At 45.6% G+C, this 16599-nt stretch overlaps 3 annotated features.

Moving 5' to 3' along the window:
• Window positions 1980–2180: a silencer, noted in NCBI's record as "peak152 fragment used in MPRA reporter construct". NCBI's record gives its function as "represses an SCP1 promoter by STARR-seq MPRAs in K562 erythroleukemia cells {active_cell/tissue: K562}" and the evidence as "EXISTENCE:reporter gene assay evidence [ECO:0000049][PMID:32103011]".
• Window positions 5117–5784: an enhancer, noted in NCBI's record as "H3K27ac-H3K4me1 hESC enhancer chr1:30815051-30815718 (GRCh37/hg19 assembly coordinates)". NCBI's record gives its function as "activates a minimal SCP1, AML or CMV promoter by ChIP-STARR-seq in naive H9 embryonic stem cells {active_cell/tissue: H9 hESC(naive)}" and the evidence as "EXISTENCE:reporter gene assay evidence [ECO:0000049][PMID:30033119]".
• Window positions 14812–15497: an enhancer, noted in NCBI's record as "H3K4me1 hESC enhancer chr1:30805338-30806023 (GRCh37/hg19 assembly coordinates)". NCBI's record gives its function as "activates a minimal SCP1, AML or CMV promoter by ChIP-STARR-seq in naive H9 embryonic stem cells {active_cell/tissue: H9 hESC(naive)}" and the evidence as "EXISTENCE:reporter gene assay evidence [ECO:0000049][PMID:30033119]".

Below are 16599 nucleotides of genomic sequence, written 5' to 3'. Positions count from 1 at the left end.
ATAGCAAAGACATAGAAAGAACCTAAATGCCTATTGATGACAGACTGGATAAAGAAAATGTGGTACATATACATCACAGAATACTATGCAGCCATAACAAAGAATGAGATCATGTATTTTGTGAGAACATGAATGGAGCTGGAGGCTGTTCTCCTTAGCAAACTACTGCAGGAACAGAAAACCAAATACTGCACGTTTTCCCTTATAAGTGGGAGCTAAATGATGAGAACTTATGACACAGAGAAGGAAACAACAGACACTGGGTTCTATTTGAGGGTAAAAGGTGAGAAGAGGGAGAGGAGCAGAAAAGATAACTAACGGGGCCTGGGCTTATTAGCTGGGTGATGAAATAATCTAGGCAACAAACCCCTATGACATGAGTTTACCTATATAAAAAACCTTCACATGTACCCCGAACCTAAAATGAAAGTTAAAAAAAGAAAAAAAAAAAAAAGAAAATCAATCATACATAATTTGCCACATTAGTATGACAAAGGATAAAAGCCACATGATCATCTCAATAGATGCCAAGAAAGCACCTACAAAATTCAACAGCCGTTCATGACAAAAACTCTGAGCAAACTAGAAATAAAAAGGAATTTCCTTACTCTTAAAAAGGGCCCCTATGCGAAACCTATAGCTAACATTAGGTATAGCGGTGAAAGGCTGAATGCATTCCCTTTGCTGGAAATGGGTCAAGATGAATATTATCATCACTTCTATTCAACGTTGTGCTAAAGGCTCTAATTAGTTCAATAACGCAAGAAAAAGAAAGAAAAGCTTGAAGTTTGGAAAAGATGAATTAAAACTTTAGTTGTTCATAGATGACACAAGAGTTTTATAGCAAATCTTAATGAAGCTACAAAAAAAGAGCTATCAGAATTAACCAATTTCAGGATGAAACCAAAAGCAAATTTAACATGTTGTCTGTGTGAGCCATAGAGTAAAAATCAATTGATTTGTCTCTCTTTTTTTTTTTTTTTTTTAGTATTTATTGATCATTCTTGGGTGTTTCTCGGAGAGGGGGATGTGGCAGGGTCGTAGGATAATAGTGGAGAGAAGGTCAGCAGATAAACACATGAACAAAGGTCTCTGGTTTTCCTAGGCAGAGGTCCCTGCGGCTTCCGCAGTGTTTGTGTCCCTGGGTACTTGAGATTAGGGAGTGGTGATGACTCTTAACGAGCATGCTGCCTTCAAGCATCTGTTTAACAAAGCACATCTTGCACCGCCCTTAATCCATTTAACCCTGAGTGGACACAGCACATGTTTCAGAGAGCACGGGGTTGGGGGTAAGGTTATAGATTAACAGCATCCCAAGGCAGAAGAATTTTTCTTAGTACAGGACAAAATGGAGTCTCCTATGTCTAATTCTTTCTACACAGACACAGTAACAATCTGATCTCTCTTTCTTTTCCCCACATTTCCCCCTTTTCTTTTCGACAAAACCGCCATCGTCATCATGGCCCATTCTCGATGGTCACTGTCTTTTCGGAGCTGTTGGGTACACCTGCAGAAAGGCTGTCACTTCACACTTGGAAGATTGCACAGTGGCCAGGCAGAGGCGCTCCTCACTTCCCAGACGGGGCGGCTGGGCAGAGGCGCTCCTCACATCCCAGACGATGGAAAAATCAATTGATTTCTCTATGCCAGAGGTTGGTGAGCTATGACCTGTGAGCCATATCTGGCCCATCATCTGTTTTTGTATGGCCTGTAAGCTAAGAATGCTTTTTAAAAACTGTTAAATAGTTGAAAATAATTCAAGAAACAATAATATTTTGTGACATGTAAAATTGTAGAGAAGTCAAATTTCAGTGTTTGTGCCAGGTGAGGTGTCAGAGCCCCAGCAGTGGAGAGTGGTTGGCTCATGGGTTGTAAAATAATTTACTGACAATAGTATAGGTTGGAAAGGGAAGTTTTATGAGATAGAAAAAACAGTGCAGAAAAGTGTAGTGGGGCACCTCAGCAAGAGAGGACTGAGCACGCCAGGTGGATTTTTCCTTAGGGGTATTTATGAACCTTAAAGCAGGAGCTTAAGGGTAATTTAGACCATATTAGTCATGGAGGTCATGGTAAATGATTACATTTGCAGACATTTTGGTGCCTTGACATTAGCAAAGGTTGCACAATGGGTATCAAAAGGCATGCATTCCAGAGGTATATGGAAATTCTAATTACTTATATATCTTGGAGAAGGAAGCCTGGTACCAGATGCTGCATTAGATAATAAGGAAGTCTAATTACTTCTGAATTTCTCCCATAAGGATTTTTGCCTCCGGGTGGTCTGCTTGATGGCCATCTTTGCTCTCCTCAGTTTGTAAATAAACCTTTATTGGAACACAGCCAAAGCTCATTTGTTTACATACTGTCTGTGGCCACTTCCATGCTACAATGGCAGAATTAAGTAGTTGTGACAGAGGGCGTTATGGTCTGCAAAGCTTAAAATATTTACTCTCTGACTCTTTATAGAAAAAGTTTGCTGACGCCTGCTCTACACTTTTTTTTTTTTTGAGATGGAGTCTCGCTCTGTTGCCCAGGCTGGAGTGCAGTGGTGGCAGGATCTCAGCTCACTGCAACTTCCGCCTCCCAGGTTCAAGTGATTCTCCTGCCTCAGCCTCCTCAGTAGCTAGGATTACAGGTGAGTGCCACCACATCTGGCTTATTTTTGTATTTTTAGTAGAGATGGGGTTTCACCATGTTGGCCAGGCTGGTCTCAAACTCCTGACCTCAAGTGATCCATCCGACTAGGCGTCCCAATGTGCTGGGATTACAGGCGTGAGCCACCACACCCAGCCCAACAAACACTTATTTGAAAATATTTAAAAGATACCATTTTTCAATAGCATCAAAAACAAGACATTTAAGCATTTTTCAAAGGTGTCTGACCTGTATTCTGAGTACCACAAATACTTCACAGGAAGATTAAGGAATATTTAAATAAATAAACATATTGCATTCGTGGATTAAAAGATTCAATATTATTAACATGTCAATCCTACCCCAAGTGACCAATAAATTTGACACACATGCACACAAAACCCCAAGCAGGATTTTTTTTTTTTTTTTGGTATAAATCACCAAGCTAGTTCTAAAATTACACATAAATGCAATAAAACTACACTAGCCAAAACATTCATTAATAACTTGGAGGACAGGCTGGGCATGGTGGCTCATGCCTGCATGCCTGTAATTCCAACATTTTGGGAGGCCGAAGTGGGTGGATCACCTGAGGTCGGGAGTTCGAGACCAGCCTGGCCAACATGATGAAACCCTGTCTCTATTAAAAATACAAAAAATTAGCCCGACATGGTGGTGGACACCTGTAATCCCAGCTACTTGGGAGGCTGAGGAAGGAGAATCTCTTGAACCCAGGAGGCAGAGGTTGCCGTGAGCCAAGATCACGCCACTGAACTCCAGTCTAGGCAACGAGAGTGAAACTCCATTTCAAAAATAAATAAATAAATAAACTTGGAGGACATATAATACCTGACTTCAAGACTATGCAGGTATGATAATCAAGGCAAAGTAAGAAGAGACAAGTGGATTAATGGAACAGAGTAGAGAGGCACCAAGTAGACCCACACATATATATTGTCTAAGACTAAGATATTTCAGTGGGGGAAAGGACTGTCTTTTCAATAAATGGTGCTGTAACAGCTGAATATCCACATGGAAAAATTTTACATTTAGACCCTTACCTCACACCTTACATAGAAATGAATTTGACATAAAACATAGACCTAAACATAAAAACTAAAGATAAGAGAAAAATATTGAATATATATCTTCATAATTTGGAAGTAGATCAAGATTTCTTAAGACACTCACATAAAAGCAGTAACCATGATTACCATGAAAGAAAAAACCATAAACAATACTAATTTGGACTTATCAACATAAAAGTTTTCTGCTTTTCAAATGATATCATTAAAGAACCTAGCGCCTATTATATCAAGTGTATAATGTATTATACACTTGAAAATTTTTTTAAAAAGAAAATGTAAACCACAAATTTGGAAAAATAGCCATAACACATATATCTGACAAAGGACTTGTACCCAGAATATGTAAAGAATCCCTACAAGTTAATCATGAAAAGAAAAACTCAATAAAACTGGGCAAAATATTTCAACATACACTGCACATTAGAAGAGATACAAAACACGTGAAAAACTGCTCAACATTATTAGTCAGGTATCTGCATCATGGGTAAAATTAAAAAGATGGATAATACCAAGTATTGGTGAGGTATATGGAGCAAACGAAAATCCTATTTCTGTAGCTAATGTAAAATAATAAAATCACTTTTGAAAACAACTTGGCAGCTTGTTATAGTATAAAATATACACCCACACTCTGATGTAAAAATTCTACTTTTACGTACCCAAAAGTGATAAAAACTGTGGTCTATAAATAGACTATTTGAGTATTTTAATAGCAATTTTATTCACAATAGCTTCAAACTGGTATTAACTCAATCATCCATCAACAAGTTAATGGATAAATAAATTGTGGTGTATCTACATAACGGACTAACAGTGAGCAACAAATGAGAATAAACTTATAAAGACAAACAGGTACATCTCAAACATTATGGTGAGCAAGAGATCCTAGATATCTACCATGGAATTCTATTTATATGACATTCTGGAACGGGAAAATTAATCTATGGTGACAGAAAGGGGCTGTGGCTGGGAGAATTGCTAGAAATTGAGCATAAGAGATACTGGGGGTAATGGACATGTGGTGTATCTTAGCAGGATGTTGGTTAGATGGATGCACACAAAATTTTTGTACATATACATAGATGAGGGTAAGAGAGCACCCTCACTTGCTCATCCACCTGGGTGCTCTGCCCTCTCTCCCCTACCTCTGTCCATCGCCATCCGCTGGCCCCCTCCCAGGGTCTCTCAAGCCCTCCCCTGTACTCCAGCCGCGGCTGGGCCCTGGAAGGACCCCTGCTGTCTGGGTGGGGTCCCTGTAAGGCGCAGGCGGCTGATTTGGGAGGCGATCCCAGGAGGCACAGTGGGGAGGGGAAAGCCAGGCAGGAAGAGGCTGAATCACAAGTCGGGGGCGGCGGCTCGGTCCCAGGGCCATCTCAGGGACCGTGTGGGGGGTGCTGACTCTGCCCCTCGAGGGGAGCCGGACATTTATCCGCCTAAGCCCGTCCCTTGCGGTGAGGGGCCCTCCTGGGTGTGGGACCCCTGGCTCCCCGCGCTGCCCTGCCCGGGGCTGGTCTCGTCCCAGGACCCTGGAGAGCGGCCCCAGGAGGCGTGGAGGAGGGGAGAGGGCCGAGGGAAGTGGTCATGGCGCAGGTGAAGGCAGAGGGGCCTCGGCTGGAGCGCCCTCCTGGGAAGAGCCCCTCCTCTGCAAGGACCTGCCGCAGCTTAACCAGCCTGCGCTGCTGTCGCCAGCGCCCGTTTTAAATAACCAAACCCTACTCGCTTCATCCAGCAACGCACCCCCAACTTCACGCTAAATGCATAATTTGCTGCAAATTAAACTTAATGGGACTAGAGTAATTATATTGACTTTTTAAAGTACTTAGCGATAAATACATGATTAGATATTTCAGAGTATAAACTTTTTTTTTTCTTTTCTTTTTTTCCCCAAGGGAGCCGGGGAAGGAGGCAGAGGCCTGAGTTACAGAAGACGGTGAAGAAGTGAGGGGAAGGCCTCAGAAACCGGTTTGAAGAGGCTCTTAGACCCCACCGGAGGGGTGGAAGCCAGGCCGGGCACCCGGGAGAGCCACTGGGCAACATACAGGCAAAGCCTTAAAAATGCCCATATCTGTTGACCTGAGAAGACCACAGATCTATCCCAAGGAAGAATTCGAGATGGAGATAAAGATCTATGTGTAGGGTCGTTTATCTCAACATAATTTATGATGGTGAAATTTAGATGGGAAACATCTAAATGCCTAACAATAGGAGATTTGTATGTCAATTGTGGAACATCATGTGATGAACTGTTAGCTGCTAAACCCAAAACCTTCAGAAAATTATTCACCTGGGGAAATGCTTATAAAAATAAAGGGAATAAAAGCAGCATGTAAAACTGGTTGTAAAGTCCATTTCTAATTTTTCATAGAAAAAAGCCAGAAGGATGCATGCAAAAATACCAACAGAGGTTATCTCTGGGTGGGGGACTATAAAGGATTCTGGTTTTCTTTATTTTTTTATGTTTGGAAGTTTTCATAATAAACATCTATGGTTAAACTATTATTTTAAATTTGTTTTTTAAGTGGAAGTAGGTAGGAAAGAATCTGTACACCTTTTCCCTATGATCCAGTCTTCCTGGATTCAGCTCTGGGGCCAGAATTCTCATTTCAGGAGCCCTAGGTCTTCATTTCAGTCTCCTAGATGCTGGCTGGGATCCAGGCTGCAGGCTGTCGTTCAGAACCCTGTCTTCTCTTCTTTAGTAGCAGAATACCAATGCTGTTGGGGTGGACAGGTGTCCTACCTCAAAGCTACATTTACCAGCCCCTGCCCATTTCAGATAGGGTTGGCCAATGGAATGTGACTGGAGGTGTTAAACTGGCAGAACTCCCTGCCTTTTTATCCTTTCCCTTCCTTTTTCTTCCATCTGGAATGTGACAGTAATCTCTGGAGCTCCAGCAGCCATCATATGACCAGTAGGCAGTCTTTAGGATGAGCTCAGGCACTGTGGATGGTAAGGCAAAACAAAGGAGGAACTGGGACATTAACATAATCTATGGATCTAACATAGGATATGTGGACTTTCTATGTCCATGATTCTTTAAACGAGAGGAAAAATCACAGTCTTTGATTTATTTAAGCCGTTAGTTTTCAGATCCCTGTTACTAGCAGCTGAATGCAGTTCCTAAAAGGTACACCGGAGGACAGTCAAGGATGGCAGAGATAAGACAAAATGCTAGTTAATACACAGAAATCTCAATGAAATTAATAAGAAAATAGTAACTTCTGTTGGAGCAGAGGACAGTGGGGCTGAGGCAAGATGAACTGAGCAGAGAAGTTTCTAAATAGAAATAACACTTATAAAATAATACCTAATGGGCCAAGATGGCCCAGGTTATCTGGCTATATGCCTGTAAATGAAGATCAGCCTGGTGTGGAAGGAAGGGGTTTTATCATCAGGAATTTGAGGCCACAAAGGTGGATGCTGATTACTTCCCAGAACATAGACGCTAAAGATACATTGTGGCAAAGTAGAGAGTTAAACCGGAAACCAGGAAACATGAACTTTGCTTGTGACTTTAAGAAAATTGCTCTCTGTTTCTGGGCTGTGTCTCATCTGTTAATAGGACAGGAGCTGACAAAAATTATTTACTTGACCAAAATTTAGTTAGGCTTCTGAACCTTCTTTGAGACCCACCTATCCACTTCCTCGTAGAATCCAGTTTCAGCAAAGAACTCTTCTAACTCAGCAAGTTTAGAAAGAACTTCCCACCCTTAATATCTGATTACCCTTGATATCTGATCAGGTTTCCCATCCTCCACCATCCTCTAGGTGGTGTCTGGTCACTCTGGCCTGTCTTCAGCAAGAATCCAGTTATGTCAGTTGTTCCAGAATCTCCATTACCCTTGATGTTTTCTCTTAGTAGTTTTCCATCCAGTGATCCTTGGTTATAAATTCCCACTTGCCCATGCGATATTTGGAGTTCAGCCCAAAGTGTCTCCCACACTGCAAAATCCCACTGCAATGGTCCTGAATAAAGTCTGCCTTACCGTGCTTTAATTCAAGTATAATTGAATAACTTTTTCTTTAACAGTTATGGTGTTTTGACTCAGATAGGATAGAATTCTTCATTGGGCTCCTGGACCTCTCACCCAGGACCCTAAGTGCATACCTTTGAAGCCTTCATGCCTGAGTGATTAGTCGGGAATTGATTGGTGAGTTCACTATCACCACCATCACCACCACCATCGTCATCATCACCATCACTATCATCATCATCACCATCATTACCATCACCATCATCATTATCATCACTGACATTAATTGAGCACCTATTTTGTGCCAGATACAGGGCTGGGTGCTTTATGTACTTGAATGCTTAATGTTTTCACAACAATCTAATTGGGTAGGAATTTAGGGATGAGGAAACCAAAGCTCAGAAAAGTGAGTGGCTGAAGGCAGTACAGATAATAAGCAGAGAAAGGAGGTTCTGAATCCAGGTCTGTCTGATCACAAGTGTTAATCTGTGTTCACTGCACCTCATAGCTCTGAGAGCTGACCTATGCTTGTGCACCTCCAGTGGTAGGAAGGCCATTGCCTACACCAGGAAGCATGCTCCATCTTGAGTCAGCATTGCCAGAACATTAAAAAAAAAACTTTTCAAAGAGAAATTAGCATTCCTATGGTCTCACTCATTAGTCTTGGTTCTGACCTCTGGTCCATGTGACAGCCTTCCAATGTTTGAAGATGGCTTTCACGATCACTTTCAACTCTTCTTGTTCAGGACAAGCATGCTGTTCCTTCAGTAACTCCTTGGGTGAGTGACCACCTTGCACACTCTCCTCTGGCCCCACTCTGGTCCACAAGAACTTCTGTGATCCTCCCTACCTGGTCTTACTGCTTCCACTCTTGCCTCCAGAAGCCAAAGTGATCCTCACCCAGAAGCTGAAGTGATCTATTTAGTATATAAATCAAGCCATGCCACTCTCTTGCTTAAAACTCTGCAATGACTCTCCTTGACATCAAAAAATAAAATCCAAAGTTCACTATGGCTGAATTCTCTAATGACCTTCCTTCTGCCAACCCCTCACATCTCTCCTTTCCCCTTCCTTCCTCCCACCTCACTTTGCTTCAGAAACACTGGCCTCTGCTCTCTTCCTCAATTGCACCACCACCACCATCATCACCATCACCATCATCACCACCATCATCACCATCACCATCATCACTATCATCATCATCATATCACCATCATCATCATGACCATTATCATCATCATCACCACCACCACCATCATCATCACCATCACCATTATCACCATCACCATTATCACTATCATCATCATCGCTATCACCATCATCATCATCATTACCATCACCATCATCATCATAACCATTACTATCACCATCATCGTCATCACTATCATCATCATCACCATCATTACCATCACTATTGTCATCATCATCATCAACACCATCATCATCACCATCACCATCATCATTACCATTACTATCATCATTATCACCATCATCTCACCATCATCATCAGCACTATCTCATCACCATTATCATTGTCACCATCATTACCATTACCATCATTATCATCATCACCACCATCATCATCATTATCATCACCATCATCATCATCACCATTATCATTGTCACCATCATTATCATTACCATCATTATCATCATCACCACCACCATCATCATTATCATCATCATCATCATCATCACCATCATCACTATCACCATTATCACCATCATTACCATCGTCATCATCACTATCTCATTCCCTACCTCAGGGCCTTCACAGCTGCTGCTCTATGTGACTGGAACATTCTCTTGACAGCTATTGGCAAAAATTGACTCTCACTTTATTCAAGTCTCTGCTGAAATGCCACCTTCTCAGAGAAGCCTGCCTTGGCCACCCTCTCTGGAGCAGCCCTTCATCTCCAGTTCCTTTCTCGTCACACTTTTCCCTCACAGGAAACATCACTTCTTGGTATATACTCACTTGCTTATTATCTGTCTGCTCTACTTGAATGTGAACTCTATGACATCAGGGGCATTGTCAATCTTCTTCACCGTTCTATCTCCGGGACCTGGAAGAGCCTCCAACAACATAATAGAATGATAATGAAAGTGTTGAATAAATTAATCCATATGACCAGATTCTCATGCCCTTCTCAGTTCAGAGGCCTGGCTTTTAGACAAGGTTCAGGCTATCGATGACCCTCTAGATTTATTTCTCAGAACAGCACATAGGTTCTGAGCCCTCCAGTTGAAGAGGACTCTCATCTCCCTTTTTCTAGACTCCATACCTCTATTAACATGGTCTAAAAAGAAGAAAAAGATGTGCACAGAGGAGTGTTGGCTTTGGAGTCAGATAAACTAAAGCTCAAATCGCATCTCTGCCACCCACTAGCTCTGTGTAATATCATTTTCCTGAGCCTCAGTTTCCTCTTGTGTAAAATGGTCTTAATAATACCAGCCTGGAAAGTCATGAAAATAGAGGTTATGTGAGTACATAGTTCAGAGTAAGCATTCAGTAAACTTTCAGATGTGAGGGTAATTTTTTTATCAGATCACTATTTTTACCATAATTATTATTGTTGTTGCTGTTGTTATTAAGCTAGCTAGATTTGAAGACTCTCCATCTCATGGGAAAAGCCTTGGCTGGGAAGGGCTGGCCTGGGGGTGGGGAGAATAACAAACGGACAGATGCTATGAGGGATACACCTGCCTGGGTCCACAATGAGCTCTTTAAGAGCTTCCCTCTCAAGGCCTGGCTCCCTCCCCTACTTGCGCCTTGATTTGTTTTTCTCAGCTCAGAGCCTTGCATTGCATGCTAAATTCACATTTACACTGAAATACCATCCTGTGAGTCTAGCTTGGGCTCCAGCCTGTGGGGATTTTCTTCCCAACCCAGGTCTGGCATCCAAAATGCTCGCTCCTCCTCCAAGAACCTGTCATCTGAAATCTGAAAGCTACCCTTACTCCCCAGTTGACTTACTGCTAGCAACACCGTGGGTGTCTTTCCTCCAGGGGGACTGACATTTCCTGGGCAGCAGGGATTGTAACTGACCCTTCATTAGCCACTCTCCCAGAGCCTAAGTGGACCTCTCCCAAAATAATTGCCCTGGAAATGTTCCCATGGCTGGTAGGAAGTGATGGCATCAAAGGAAGGAGCTGGAAGGTCAACAGGGGAGCGGTGCCCTTCTCCCTGACTAATGAGTGGCAGCTCTGGGCTCCTGTTTTTGCTGACTAGCAGACAGGCATGCCCTGGGTCTATTTCCAGACATTAAACTCTGCAGTGGTGGATAGTGATGCTTTCCAGACCAGAAAGTACATCTGAGCTCGTTGACTCGGTGGAACAGGGGCTGTGCCAGCCAGGCCCAGTGGCGCCAGCTCACCCTCACCTTGTTCCTGCCTCTGTTCAGTTTTCGCAAGCCACAGACAGTCTTGGTAGAGGCCGTGGCTTCCATCCGGCTGCCCGTGGGAAGGACTGTAGTCCCACTCCATCCAGGACGAGGCCCAGGACTCATCCCAGAGTCTTTGGGACTCAGTGGTCTCCCACGTGGGCATATTCGCACCACACCCTCCCCACTGCTGCTGCCGGGCCTGTTTCTGTGCCAAACATTCTCAAGCTTTCAGGGGAGGATAAGAAACCAGCCAGATGAGGGAAGCGGTCAAATGTGGCCTCGCCAGTGGGCTCAGAGTGTTGAATAGACCCTTACTTCAGGTTAAGTGATGTGGGCTCATGAGATAGTTTAGAACGGGTTGTATCCTCTGGCCAGTGGAGAAACTGAGGCACAGAGCGTTAGCCAGCATGCAAATAGAATGAGTACATCATAGAGCCAGACTTCATATCAAGAAATTGAGGCTCAGAAACAAGAATTGTCTTGTCCAAGGTCAGGCAGCAAGTCTGACAGAGCCAGGAGTGACTCGGGTCCCTACTAGCCAGTTTGTTCCTTTTCCCTCTCCACCCCATGAGGAGGCAGGGCCTGGGAATGGGCTGGGATGGAAAGCAGGATGGTCATCCCCAGCAGGGCTGTATCTCCTCTGTCACTGTCTGTGCCCTGTGTTTGTAAGCTGAGCCCTTTCAGCATGCCTGGCACTGCGTAAGACACTTAATCATTTTACAGAGGAGAAAGTGAGGCCTGGAGAGGGCAGCCAACTCACCCAGGTCTCACAGCTGCTGGGGTCCATCTGCCTGACACCAAAGCCTGAGCCTCTCATGATGCCCCAGAAAGAGTTGAACATGATCCAGGGCCTCAGTGGGGTGAGAGGCAGCTCAGTGGCCCTCTCATGTCTCAAAATGAAGCATACTGCCTGAGAAAGTGCATCTGGGAAGGCCTGGGGACTCCACTGGGTGGAAGGAGTGGGGTTCTTCTCTGTCCTACCTGGGACCAGGCCTCAGGCTTATGGGGTGATCTTCCCCCAGTGGCATCAGAGCTGGTGCCCCACCCCACCAGTCCTCAGTACTCTTGGCCTGAGTGGGGTCTGGGTTGTGGAGTTCAGGCAAGGCTGTCTCCCGGATTAGGCCCAGCAGAGCTTGGGGTAGGAGGAGGAATTTAGGGGACTTTGGCTGGGGAGGCCTTGAGGGTTTGGGGTTGGGACTTGAGATCTGATGTCTGGAGCCAGGGTAGCTTGCCATGGGTAGACTGAGCTGCAGTCTGCTCCAGGACCTGGCCTGGGATGGTGACCTGCTCCCTGGCCCCATCCTGGCTGTGGCCTAAGAGCTCAGGAGCCGCTTAGAAGTCTCTTTCCTGCTCCCAGCTCAGAGGGAGTTCCGCCTCTTTTGCTGGGCATGTAAGCATAGCAGAAGGTCTATTGGCCTGGCTGCCAGACAAAACTCTTTGGAGGGATGGGTGCAGGAGTCATCATGGTCCCACAAAGAGAAGGAACTCCATCTACTGTTTCCATGGGGCTTCCTGATATGAGCTGGATGGGGGAGAGGGAGGAGTGAGTAATCCCAGCCACCAAAGAGAGAGGAGGAGAAGGGGAGGTAGAGGGATGAGAAAGGCCCATCAGTCACTGTAACTCAGCCTGGAAGGATGCATGAGTGCGTGTGTGTGTGTGTTGTGTGTCTGTGTGTGTGTTGTGTTCTGTGTTTGTGTGTGTGTGTGTGTGTGTGTGTGTGTGTGTGTACGTGCATGCATGGATCTTGCCTGTGGGCATCTGGTCTGCTGGGCATCTGGCCTGCTGAGGGGTTGGGGGTCATGGAGGGGTGGCATGGGGTACTGGGAAGATCTTTGAACTAAACTTAGGAAGCTATGCCCTCCCTTCCAGCTGCCTCCTTGCCTCAGTGTGCCCATCTGCACATTGGGGGCCTGGAAAGGAGACCCTCTGAGTCCTGAGTCTCTGGGCTGGGGCTCTCTGACCCTGGTGGATGGGCCTGTCAGGTGGAGAAGCCCTGGAATAACCCTACCCACTCCTGGTGTCTTTGTTGCCTCCGATGCCTGACCCCAGTCACGTGGGTCCTATTGACTCAGGAGCCCAGAGGCTCCAATTCTTAGATGGCCTTGAACTTGTCAGTGAGGGGCCACCTGGGGTCTGTTTGAAGTAGTCAAATCTGCAGGGAGCCCCACTGATTGCCCAGGGGATGGGGGTAGCTGACTCAGTGCCTGTCACTGGCTGTGAAGCCCAGTTTGAGGCCTCAGACACTTCCATCTGGAAGTTGGAAAGGACTCGAGAGATTCATTCACTTACTCAAAGATATTGATTGGGTTGTTTCTTGGTTTTTGTTATTACAAATGAAGCTGCTGTGAACATTCTTATACAAGTCTCCTGACGCCCATGTACAGGAGATTCTCTGGGGTAAACTCTAGAAGTACAACCACTGAAGTATAAGGTATGTGCATGTTCGATGTTACAAGACAGTGCCAAATTGGTTTTCAAAGAGCCTGTATCATTTCCACTCCAAGCAGTGGTGTGGGAGAGTTTCTATTGTTTCTCCACCTAGACTTGAAATTCATTTTTGTCCAACTAGCAGGTGTAAAATGGGAATTCTGAGTGTTCTGTAATTTGTGTTTCTCTGATTACTAATGAGGTTGCACATATTTTCAAATGATCATTAGCCATTCAGCCTTCTTGAAATGCCTATTCATGCCCATTATCTAATTTTCTGTTGGATTTCTTATGGGTTTCTTCATCTTTTTAGGAAATTTTAAAAATATATTCAGGATGCAATCATTTCTTGCTTGTGTGTTGTAGTATCTGCTCCCACATTGTGGCTTATCTTTCTAGTTTATTTATAGTGATGCCGGATGAACAGAAACTCTGCCTAAATTGAATCAAATTTATCAATCATTTCCTTTATGCTTGGCACTTTATGTATTTTGGTAAATACCTTTTTTCCAACCCAAAGTCATAAAAGTAGACTATATTTTCTTTCAAAAGCATAGACATGCAAAATGTAGGCCAGGTGTGGTGGTTCACGCCTGTAATCCCAGCACTTTGGGAGGCCGAGGAGGGCAGATCACTTGAGGTCAGGGGTTTGAGACCAGCCTAGCCAGTACGGTGAAACCCCTTCTCTACTAAAAATACAAAAATTAGCTGGGCATGGTGACACTCGCCTGTAATCTCAGCTACTTGGGAGGCTGAGGCCAGAGAATCACTTGAACCCAGGAAGCAGTGGTTGCAGTGAGCCGAGATTGTGCCATTGCACTCCAACCTGGATGTCTCAGCAAGACCCCATCTCAAAAAAAAAAAAAAAAAAGAAATGCAAAACGTAAATTGCATGACAGTGGTTACCTCCAGTAGGGTGTGGGAGATGAAATTGTTGCAGGGACCTGAGGGACTTCTGTTTCCTCTTGGTGATGTTCTAATTCTCAGACTGCAGTTCACTGGTGTTTGTTGTGTGTTGATGCGCTCTAGAGACATGGATAGGTACAAGGATAGACAGGTAGATGTGTAACGTAGATTGCATTGTATTAAGTATGTATGGAAAGTTACATCACGCAAAGAAGAAATTTAAAGAAGTAATAAATGAAAAGGTTCTAGCACAGGGCCCTGCAATACAAATGATGTCAGCTAAGATTGCCTGTGTTCTTTCCAGTGTTATTTTCTGGCCAAGAATTACATCAAAGTATTTACATACATGGTCTCCTTCAGTCTTCGCAGCAGACTGTGACATTTACCCCAATTCACAGATAAGGAAGCAGACACTCAGAGAGGCCGACTTGCCCCAGGTCACACAATTAAAAAGGGGATTTGAGAGGCCAGCCCAGGTCTGTGTGACCGCAGATGGGTTCCTCTCAGTCAGTGGGTCCCCACTTCTCACACAGCAGCTGCTCAATAAGTGGTGAGGCTGTTGGGATCCCCTTGGATCACGCAGCAGCACTCCTTCCTGCCCCTGTGCCCCTGCCAGGCTCTGAGCGCCATCTTTGCTGTGGCCCAGGATGTAGCCAAAGCAGCCTTTGGAGGCAAGTGAGGAGCAGCCTTTGTGGCTGTGACCTTGACCACCTTGGGCGGGGGAGGTGTTGGGGGAAACAGAGAAGGAGGAGGGGAGAAGAAAAGAGAAAGGGACAATAACAAGGAGAGAGAGAGAGGGATGGGGAAGGGGACAGGCCAGCAAGCCACAGGGAAGACAGACAGGGCCACAGACAGAGGACAGCCGGCCAGGCTGGCTGAACATGGAGCCCAGAGAGGACCTGTCAGTGAGCGGATGCTGGCCTAGAGGGCAGTCTCTGGGGGTGTGCCACAGGCTGTGTTCCCAGCCCAGGACACTTGGCCTACCTAAAAGAAGAGCTACAGAAACAAACCAACCCGATCCCCAGAAGATGGAACCCGGGAGGGACACCAAACGCTGTTGGCATCCGGCGGAGCTCAATGCGAGATTAAGCAGATAGAATTTAATACAGGTTCTTTGAGAAGTTCTGCATCTGGTTTTGAAAACTAACTGCACAAGCAGCAGGGAGGGAGAGCTGCCTGTCCACAGCCCCTGCAGGAGCTGAGCTGGGGGCTCAGCGTGAGTCACTGGGTGTTGAGTTGCTGGGAAAGCTCATGTTGAGAAACAGCAAGGTAAGGAGCTGTCCAGGGAGGAGGAGGTGAGAGACCCGCCGTCCTCAGGGCTGGCCTGGCGTTCTCTGGGCCTGCTCTTCGAGGGAGGGAAAAGCAGCACAGGTGCAGGAGGAATGTTCTGGAAGGCTTGTAGAGTAGGAGAAGACAGAGACAGAAGACAGAGTAGCATCGGCAGGCTGTGGAGTCAGCAGGGGCCTGGGTTGTGTCCCAGCTCCAGCACATCCTGCGACCTTCCACAAGTCCCTTGGTCTCTCAGAGCCTCCGTTTCCTCATCAGTAAAGTGAGAGTGATAAGAGCTCCTATTTCTCAGAGCTGTTGGGAGGACTCTGTCAAGAACTGAGCACAGGGCTTGGTCCAAAGGAGGGGCCCAGGAGGTCGTGGGTCTCAGAGCTGGGGCTGCTCAGCTGGAGAAGGGGCCCGTGAGGACCTGAGAGTCATCTATGCTGTGGGAGGAGCTGCCAGTGTCTGAGCAGGTCAACCTTGCCCCATGCACACAGGCACACATGTGCACAGTGGACTCTAGAGTGGGAACTGTGTCCTGATGTGGATTTGGTCAGAGGTCAGGACATCCTTCTGACCAGCAGGAATGGTTCAAGGACGTAAGGGGCTGCCCTGGTGGTAGAGGGGACACCGAGGCTCAGGGTGATCATGGGTCTTGTCTGGGGTGACTCAGCAGAGCCAGCTCTGAACCTGTGACTCTGAGGATAGAACCAGCACTTGCGACCACTCCCCAAGGAGGAAGACACCATCCACCTGGGTAGAGTGGGTGGAGCCTCTGGACGGCCTCCACGCTGGCCTGTGGTTTAGCATGTTCTAGCATGTTCACTCTGTTCACAAAGTGCATCTGGGTAGTCACATGGAACCCTCACAACCAGCCTGCAAGACAGGCAAGGTGCTCCTCAGTATGCAGTAAGGA

This window comes from Homo sapiens, chromosome 1, assembly GCF_000001405.40.
Source record: "Homo sapiens chromosome 1, GRCh38.p14 Primary Assembly".
Lineage (NCBI taxonomy): Eukaryota > Metazoa > Chordata > Mammalia > Primates > Hominidae > Homo > Homo sapiens.
The sequence above is the reverse complement of the archived record's forward strand: the minus strand, read 5'-3'. Positions and strand labels throughout refer to the sequence as shown.